This window comes from Homo sapiens, chromosome Y, assembly GCF_000001405.40.
Source record: "Homo sapiens chromosome Y, GRCh38.p14 Primary Assembly".
Taxonomy (NCBI): domain Eukaryota; kingdom Metazoa; phylum Chordata; class Mammalia; order Primates; family Hominidae; genus Homo; species Homo sapiens.
Genome location: NC_000024.10, coordinates 9,516,289 through 9,526,535, shown reverse-complemented (window position 1 = coordinate 9,526,535; position 10,247 = coordinate 9,516,289). Strand labels below are relative to the sequence as shown.

The window sequence follows — 10,247 nt, the reverse complement described above, 5'->3', positions numbered from 1 at the left end:
ATCGGGCCTCGGGGGGTATAGGGGCTGTTTGGGGGGAGGAGCCAGGTGGGAGGCACGTGGGGTCAGCCAGGAGGCAGGGGATGGGGGACAGCGTGGGAGCCGAGGCCACGTTCCCGCAGCTGTGAGGGCAGCTCGCTTGTAGCAGCCCTGGGAGCACGTGGTAGGGAAGGGGAGCCAGGGCCAGCACTGACAAGGGAGAATCGCGGCGCCAAGGTCCCTTTGCGCACAGCCCAAATTCGAAGGACGCGTTTCCCTGGGAACGTCCCTGGAGGACGGGGAATCTGTATGCCATTACCAGCCATTGAACCACCCCTGCTCTCGGTGCCTGTTTCCAGCAGGCTCACCCCAGAAACACAAGGTGCTTAAGACGGGTTCGCGGCGCATGGGGCTGCCGACCACCTGACGGCGGGCACCAGCTCCGCAGATGCGCATTCATCCAACTGCAGGCGCTGCACTCAAAGGCGTGTAGGCCCTGAGCCTGTATAACTTCCTCTGGACCCACGCAATTCCCTTGGAGAGCGCCAGGCACGACCCTGCTGTGGCTTCTAACTACAAGGCTTCCCTCAGGTGGACAGGCCCACCCCTCAGGGAGACTAGGATAAGAGGACACCACACACCCGGACATCAGCGGAGCATGTCCAGCACCCAGCACACAAAGGCCTCCTGCATCTCAGAAACCCAGAGAAGCAGCCGCCTCACACCACCCCCGGTCCCTCCCGTCCCTCAGCTGCAACCACCTGCCCACTTTTTCTGCCTCCCGTCTCTGGTCAGCCCAGGCCGTCTTGGCCGGGGTCCACCCACTCCAAAAACCACCACAGTTGTGCGTTGCCTCCTCGCCAGACAGAGATAGAGGGCCAACAATGAAGGGTGACTGGCCAAATGTCTGGGAGATGGCCCTGTTCCACATTGTCTGTGTTCTTGCGAAATTGCAAGGCGTCACGAGGCTTGCCCACCCAATCCTCTGGAGAGTTCTTGCGCAGAGGTAGATTGTTTGGCACACGAGATGTCGGCGTGGGTCGGAAAGCATGCGGAAGTCCTGCTTTGCTACGTGATGGATTTGCAGGTCAGGCTGGGGAGCCTGGGTCTGTGGGAGGAGTCCAGTGTCTGAGTCAGTTTGAGGTCCCCCTGGGGACCAGGGTTGTCTCAGTGGGAGAGCTGGGAAGGGGAAACTCATGGTTCACTACAGCTAGTAGGCCACCTCAGCCCGGCTAGTTGAGATGGTCCCATTGAATCCATCCTCTTTCTCCTTGATCCGGCAGGTGGAGGAACTCAGCCATCCCGGTTACCGGTGGCAGGATGATTTCCTTTCATCCCAACCTTTATTTCCACAGTGAAATCATCATGAAGGAGCACTGTGTTGGCATCCTCGGTAAGGAATGCCTCCCAGCATGGTAGGGGAGCTGGTGTGTGGGAGGGTGGGACTGGCATGAACCTTCCTGACTCCTCTCCCTGCAGGCTACAGGGTGTCTCATTCCACTGCAGTCCAGCGGTTCTGGGATCACGAAGGTCAAGCCTCCAGCTGCAGGCAGTACACCTCCTACCTGAGCTCATTCAGCTGTTTGGCTGAACATGACTGCCCGGGTTTTGGCAGGATTGCTGAGGTGGGGTTCGCCGTGGGGCATCATGGGAAAGGACCTAGCTGGTCATTCCTTGGTCTCTGGGGAATTGGCTTTGAACTGTCACCTGAACTGTCCTGGACCCACTTCTGCAGTCCCCTAGATCATCAGCCAGGGCCTATGGCTCAATCCATTGCAGTTCTATCCCATGGAGAGAGGGTCAGCCCTAGAGGCGGAACAGAGAGGAGGCCAGGCGAGCAGCCTAGGGCTGGGAAGGGCTGGGAACTGAGAGGCCTTTTGACCTGGATCTGGGCCCCACATGGAGAACCCAAGGATCCGGGAGGAGACTGCAGTGAGCAATCCCAGGCAATCCGTGGGTTGGGGGAGAGAGGCCCATCAGGGACATGTAACACCCACATTTCAGGATCGGGGCACCTTAAGCCACTATGATGCATATGTGGCTAAAGTCAGTGGGTGACAAGCAGGGCTTAAGGGATAGCTGTCTCATCATTACTCGCCAGCTCCCTGCCCTGCGGTAAGACCTGCTACCACCTGGGGCTCATTTTGAGATCAACCAGGGCCCCCTTTTTCTCCACGAGGATGTCCACCTGAGGCCCACCTAGGTGTATGTCCTTTCACAGTGTTTCTCCCAGGCCAGTCATGTTTTGTTTCCATGACCCCGGCTGCCTTGACATGTGTAATCCTCTCTGCCATCCTCACTCCCGCTGCCCTGCCTTCCCATATAAGTTAGTCCACCTCACACGGAATCTGGAGGACCACACTGGGCTCCAGTGTGAGGCAATGTTTTATTTTCTTCAGGTACATGTATTTTAGGGCTACCTCCAGGGCTGGGAATGTGAAGAGATTGCCAAATGGCTGGGGACCTTCAGTGTGTGTCCAGGGAGGGAACCCGGCTGGGAATTAAGGCCCACCTGAGTAATGGTATGGACATCCAGTGTCAGTTATCTTGATAAAGGCCTGCTTTCTTACATCACCTACTATTAATATAAAAGTTAATTCCTTAGAATATTGAAAAAACAAATCTATGTGTGAAGAAATATAATTTGTTCATAATTGTATGGAAAAAGCTGCCGACCGATCCATTTTCCATTACAATTCTTATGGGAGACTTGAAGGGTTTAGCAAGTTTTAAGATGCATTTCTATTCGTCTACTCCTGCCAGTTTTTATGATCATTTTTGTAATACAAGGACATGGCCTCTGGAAAGTTTTTGAGGGACTTTCAGCTTCTTTTAGGGTAGATACTTGTAAATTTTGAATTGTTTTCCCCTGCGGTTCTTTTGAGGTTACTCTTTGTACTTTCTTTGGGGGGTGTTAAATTTGTTTTCTTCTTTTGCCCTTGTGGAACTTTCGTTTTCAAGGAATTGTGTGTGTTTGTGTGTGTGTGTGTGTGTGTGTGTCTGTGTGTTAGATATGGGAGATAGCCTGTGAGCATGTTTTCGAATATGGATTTTTTTTTTACTTATCAATTTTGGGGGTGTGTGTGTGTGTGTGTGTGTGTGTGTGTGTGTTTGTTTCTTTTCAGTTGGAGTCTCACTGTGTCATCCAGGCTGCAGTCAAGTGGCAAACTCTCAGATCACTGCAACCTCTCCCTCCAGCTTCAAAGGATTCCTCTGCCTGCTGATGCTGCTTTTCCCCCACATGAGGAGAACATGCAGACAGTTATAAAAAATTCTGTGCCTGGGTAGGTATGAAAATATAATTTCAATGAATGGTAAATTTCACAAATACAGTTTCACATTTGTATTTTGCAACATTTTGAAAATTTTAGTTGCTGACACATGAAATTCTGTGTTGACTTTCATGTTAAAGGTACACTTTTGAATCAATTTCAACAGTGACAACTAGCGAAGGCCAAGCGTTAGTTCAGGAAGCTGAAAGCAGTCGTTCTGTAAAAAAAACCATATTTATTGAAGGTATATTTAGAGAGATTTTAGAAGGCTTCAGTCAATATTTTTGTTTCTGTTGCTCTGGTGTTTTATCATACAGGGACCAGACTGTAGCATCAGTAGCTATAGTTACAAGGCTACCAAAGACTCAGTGCTATAGAAATTATTATTGTGGAAATTGGCAGCCTGGCTGTCTGTTTGAGGAGACTAGAGGACTTAGGAGTTTCCACCCAAAGTACAAGGGCCTGGTTTAGTGGGTGGCCTTCTTTTGCTGAAGTAGATAAGATCCAGGAGAAGGGTGGATTCACTGTAGTAGCCAGGGCTTTGAGACTGGTAAAGCTTATTTGTCTCCTAGTGCCATTGCCAGATATTGGTCTGTGCATAAAGGCACTTCCCGGACTCGCTGACTCCTGTAAATTCAAATGTAGAATTTAGATTTAAATCCCTATTCCAACTTCTTAAACTTAGATCTAATAGGTGGGTAATAAAATATGTATTCAGAAGAAAGGGAGACGTCAGGTAGGTATATAAGCAAATCATCCTGGTCAAATACCTTCAAAAATATTACTACAAAAAATTACTGAAGATTAAACCTTAAAAAAGTTATTTTAATTGGAGAAACAGAAAAAGGTTGGAGTCATTTTAAACCCTGAGGTGTAAAGGTACTGTTATTAGATTACAGGAATTATATACAATGAATAATTTGTGGGAAGAGCAGCATACTATCTCTTTAGTATGGCTAGAGATTCATAAGCCGTGTAAGAAAACTCAGAGATTGAGAAGAAAATGTTTTCAGGGATTTTGTTCTGTTATGAAAGACTTTTAAAATGGTTTCCTACTGATCAATGATTCACTTATATTTATCACTGAGGCATATGCTATATACCCTTCTATATAGGGATGAAGTTATAGTTTCTATCATGTAGATACAAAAACATGTGACTCTGTACCACATTTGCATTAGAGCCTTTGGCATGATTAATGAAGCAAACGGTGGAACTGTCTACGTCAGGTTACAGGTGGGCACAGCTGGAAGCTTCCGTCCCTTGCACTTTAACATTTCTGCATTCTCATCTGTCTCTCCTGGAAAGAAAACGGACTATAACTATCCTAAAGGACATATGTTACATGAAGACACTAAGTATTGAGATAAGACCATGAGTTGTCTTATCAGTGTCTTGGCATTACATTTATATGTATAACTTATACAAAAAATCCAGTTTATTTTATCACGATTACATATTACATCCCACATTTATGTATTTTATTATCTTTCCAGTGACTGTTTTGTTTTGTTTTGTTTTGTTTTGTTTTGAAATCTCGTTCCACTCTGTCACTCAGTCTGGAATGCAGTGGCCTGATCTCAGCTCACTGCAACCTCCATCTCTTGGGTTCAAGGATTTTAAAAATTAGTAAAGAATTTTCAATTGAGTTAGCAGAAGTAAAAATAAACTTAAGTGGAAATAGAACAACAAAATTGTAAACACTATTTCTCAGCAATTCATAGATTATCATACTAGGAATTGAAATGTACTTAGAACTCAATGATACCGCCAATATTAAAGATTAAATCTGTGAGTAGCAAGAAAAGTGATATTACAATAGGAGTTTACAGACAAATATTTCTCTAATAACTTGAAAATTAATGTACTAGATATTTCAATAAAGAATTAGAAAAGAAACAACAGAATCAATTCTGAAAAACTAAAGTGTGGGAATAATGATGTAGACAAAATTAGTAAAACATACAAAGCTAACCTTTGCTTGTTGGAGAAATATAATAAATGATGCAACCGTCAGTCAAGTTTAGAAAAAAAGGGAGAAAACATAGATAAAACTAAGAATTTAAAAGGTACACAACCATAGATACAGCATAGATTAAGAAGCTAATAAGGAAATATCATTAACACCTTAACCTACAAATTTGAAAACTTAGATCAAATAGACAGATATTTATAATCTGTCTATATATATAGACATATATATCGCTTTCTATATATATTTTCATATTTATACATAATTTTTATATTTGTATCTTACATTTATATATATAATATATAAACATAAGCTATGTATATAGCTTAGTAAAATTGATACAAGAAGACATATATAATCTGTATAGTCTCATAAATGTTCAAGGAAATAAAGGATTCTTCCTAGAGATAAAACGCTAGGCTCAGATTTTTTTCCCCAGGCAGAGCATTTCAATATATATGAAGAATTCTATAGAATAAAAAAGGGAAAATCCTAAACTCATTGTGTGAAGCAAGCAGAACTTTGACGCCAACAAGCCATAAACTGAGTGTAGAAAAAGATATGAAAATTAAGGCCATTCTCATTCCTGAAGCAAATCGTAAAATCCCAAATGTAACAAGATTTATGTGGATTCTTTGAGGGTTAGAAGGAAATTTCCTTCTGCCAGATCCTGCTACTCTGGGACAACCCACACACAAATTTATGTTTTGAGATTTTCTGTAATACCCATGCAATATGGAACTGGCTTGACAATCTGTGTGATAGCCAGCCTGTGGCCATGACTTCTCAGGGACACAAATCTTTTCTGTTTGCCTCCTTGTTCTGCTCAGCTCCAAGAGAACTTTGACCAAAGTTCCTTGAGCTTGGAAATAGGAATGGGTTTGCTTCTGTTTCACCCTTACTGTGAAGATACAGTCCGGTGGAATCCAGATCCACTGGGAGAGAGTCGGCTATTAAACTCTTTTCATGAGTAGTCCCTAGGCCTTGACTGGAGTCTTTCTTGAGATATGAGGCTAATAGTTCCTTCTTGGTCCACCACTTTTTGATATAATTAATGCTTCTTCTATTGGGAATTTTTAATTGTTTGGGAAGTGACATGGTTTGGTGTGTCTCCATTCAAATCTCAGCTTCAATTGTATCTCCCAGAATTCCCTCGTGTTGCGGGTGGGACCCAGGGGGAGGTAATTGAATCATGGGGGTCGGTCTTTCTCATGCTATTCTTGTGACAGTGAAGAAGTCTCACGGGATCTGATGGGTTTTTCAGGGGTTTCTGCCTCAGGTTCTTCCTCATTCTCTCTTGGCATTGCCATGTAAGAAGTGCCTTTATTCGTATACCATGATTCTGAGGCCTCCACAGCCATGTGGAACTGTCAGTCCAATTAAACCTCCTTTTATTCCCAGTTTCAGGTATCTCTTCTTCAGCAGCGTGAAAATGAACTAAGACAGGAGGTTTGGTCCAAATAACCTTGGCTTCCATGACAGAAGATAGAAGTTGCTGAAATGTTTAATCTTTTCTGTGGCAACCTTTTGCAGTGGGTCTTATTTTTCTCATTTTTTTTTTCTTGTTCTCTTCACCTTTGTTTCTCACAGGGTACTCTCGCTCTGTAGACCAGGCTGGAGCGCAGTGGCAGGATCTCAGCTCAACACATCCTCCGCCTCCCAGGTTCAGCCTCTGCAGTAGCTGGGATTACAAGCATGCATCACCACGCTCAGCTAATGTTTTGTAGTTTTAGTAGAAGCCAGGCTTCACCATGTTGGCCAGGCTGCTCTCCTACTACAGATCTCAGGTGACCCGCCCGACTCAGCTTCCCAAAATCCAAAGTGCTGGGAATACAGGTGTGAGCCACCGAGCCCAGCCAACTCCAGTACTTTTTACCTAAGCCAGTGGACGAGTGGAGTTGCCTTTATTTTTTTTTTTCTTTTTTCAGTCATGGTCTCGCTGTGTCATCCAGGCTGGAGTGCAGTAGTCTGATCTTGGCTTACTATACAATCTCTGCCACCCATGTTCAGGTGGTTCTCCTGCCTCAGCCTCCCAAGTAGCTGGGACCACAGGAAAGTGCCACTAGGTCTGGCTAATTTTTGTATTTTTGGTAGAGACAGCTTTTTGCCATGTTGCCCATGCTGGTCTCCAACTCCTGACCTCAAGTGACCCACCAACCTCGGCCTCCCAAAATGTAGAAATTACAACAAGAGCCACGAAGCCTGGCCTGGAGTTGTGGCTTTTTGACATAAGAAATCTGTGGAGGGAAAAGCTTGCTTTGTGGGAGCACCCGAGCTCAGTTTGGCTCAAAGGTTTGGGATACCTATTATTGAGTGGCAGTGATGGTATGTTGTTAATGTACAATATGTTCCTGTATATAGCATACGTCTATGCTCATCAGATATTTTCAGGTAAAAAAAAGATAGTCTTTCCAGTAGTTTGAGCCATTATAGCAATTTCCACCAGGGGATTTCAAAGTCCAATTCCAGTTGTGGGCAACAGTGATTAACATAATGGTAATTAATGAGAAGAGATTTTGAGACGTCCAGCCACGTTTCCATGTCAGTGCCTTGTTTGCAGTATTATGAAGAAAGAGTGCATTGGACTAGATACTAAGAAAAACATTGAATTATTTTTCTTGCCTCTATAACATCAAAGGACAATTAGAGATATAGAAACTATGGAACATTTCACAGCATGGCTTGACATTTCACTGAACTTTTATCCTTTTAACCATGTACAAAGTTTGTTACCTATGCAAAGGTAGGACTGCAAAAGGAAGACAGAGGTGGAGTCAGAGGTCACAATCCACAGCAAGGTGACACTCTTGTTGATCGCACCTTGAAAGCCAAATTAGAGCGAGAATTAACTTTCCGGTTGCCGTAAGAGAACAAGGAGAATGAAGCTACCAGCAGTTAACAGTATTGGATTAATTGAAATGAAGGTGGACAGAGTTTTTTGGCTTTCCATCAAGTTGAGTAAAGAAAAGGTAACCGCTTATCTAATTTCACACACATACAATTATGGATTAATTAAAAGATTACACAACCCATATATTATGGGTTTCTCATATAAGTGTATATATACATGGGCAAACTCACAGTGTGCCAGTATGTGTCTATATCCAAATATATACAAATCCATGTCCAACAGTTAGCAAGTGAGAAATTCTCTTCCATTTCACCATTCCCTTTCCTAGAATTTTTTCATAAATATAATTTTTCCATATATTTGAAGCCTACTCTCTGGAGGCATGTAATGCATGCATGCAGTAAACCTGTGCGATATCACAATGTTGGTGTCAGAGAAAACTATAACACCGATGTTATAAAAGATTAATTGTGAGGAGAAAGTTATGCTTCGCATTACTACAAATACACAAGTATGATTTCATCCAAAGCTGAAATCAGTCAATATAATTTGTTTTTAATGTTTTATTTAAAATCCTTAATTTCAACAGGATTACTCAAGAAAAATAACGTTATTGGTATTAAATAATGTTGATGTATTCCCTTTAATTGTTGATTATTTAAAATGTCAGTAAAATAGTAAATGGCACTGTACAATGTAGTTTCATGAAGCATTCTTTATAGTTTTCATAAAATTGATAGTCTCCATGGAATATTTTAAGACTGAGGAAGTTCCATATATCATTTGATTGTACTTTCACTTTATTACTTGCTTGCATGTCATAACTGATGGAAATAAAACTATGTATATTTACAAATATGAAAAACATGGACTTTTGTTTACGTTTTCTAGTGAGACACAGTTACCAATAATTTTATCTATATAGGAAAATTTTTACAAACCCAAAGTTCTAATGTTTCTTTTCTTTGAAGTTTCGTATTTCAGTCTAGGTATGTAATGGAATTGGCTGTGATCATTCTTTGATTTCACTGTTATTTGTGAGTTTCTGATATGCTTTTAGGAATGAATAGAGTTTAACGCTTGCTTTCTTCTTCTTCCTCTACCTTTGGACCTGTATATGCGATGTCTGCAGTAATGTGCAGTGCTATCTGACATACGGTTGCTGAAAGATACAAGCATATATAGAATTCTTCGTTTCAGTGAATCTTTAGGAACAGACAAGTAACCTGAGAGATAATTACGGTATGAATGTAAGCAAGCAGTTTATCATAGAGGTACAATAAGGGTGAAAATAAATTTAAAAATACATGCCTCATCCAAAACATGAGGTAGTAAAAATGAAAAATTTAAGTTGGCATAAAGAACACTTTAAAAGTTCTGATTCTTTCTGGTGAGAGCAAGGAGCTCAGAAACCATGAGAAAGTCCTTCAAAGCTGCATGTTGGATTTGCAGGTCAGGATGGAAAGCCTGGGTCTGGGGGAGGGTGCTAAGGTCCTGGTCAGGTTGAGGTCCTTCTGGGGCTCAGGTGTGTCTCAGCGGGAAAGCTGGGAAGGGGAAACGCATGCTTCACCCCGGCTAGAGTGCCACCTCAGCCCACCTAGATGAAATTGCCCCTTCACAGCCCTGTTTCTCCTTCTTGGACAGGCAGGTGGAGGAACTCGGCCACCCTGAATACAAGGGGTAGGAAGAAGTTTGCCTTTCATCACAACATTTACTTCGGAAACAAAGTGATGACTAAGGAGTATTGCGTTGGCATCCTCCCTGAGGAGTAGAGGGGGTAGTACCTCGGGAGCTGGGCCTGGCGTGCGCCTTCCTGACTCGTCTCCCTCCAGGATACAGGGCGACTGGCTCCACTGCAGTCCAGTGGTTCTAGGGTCATGCAGGTGAAAGCCCGAGTTTCCCGCAGGTCACTGCCTGAGCTTCTTCAGCTGGTTGTCTGACTGTGAGGGCCCAGGTTACGGCACGATTGCTGAGGTGGGACAGCTATGGGACATCATGGCAAAGGACCTTCTTCGACATTCCTTGGCATCGGAGGAATTGGCTTTGAACCAGAACCTGACCTGTCACGACCAATTTGCCCAGTCCACCAGATCATCAGCCAGGGCCTGTGGCTCTATATTCTGCAGCACTACCCAAGGGAGTTAGGCCCTCAGAGAGGGAACAGAGAAGAGGCCAG

The 10,247-nt window shown here is 43.4% G+C and overlaps 1 long non-coding RNA gene across 1 annotated transcript; it reads left to right on the top strand.

Annotated features, from left to right (window-relative positions):
- Positions 1-1,178: 1,178 nt before the first annotated feature.
- FAM197Y2 (family with sequence similarity 197 Y-linked member 2) lies at positions 1,179-6,870 on the top strand. Its single transcript, NR_001553.2, has 4 exons — positions 1,179-1,369; positions 1,456-1,601; positions 3,102-3,260; positions 6,811-6,870. It is a non-coding gene; the product is annotated as a family with sequence similarity 197 Y-linked member 2 (long non-coding RNA).
- Positions 6,871-10,247: the final 3,377 nt, after the last annotated feature.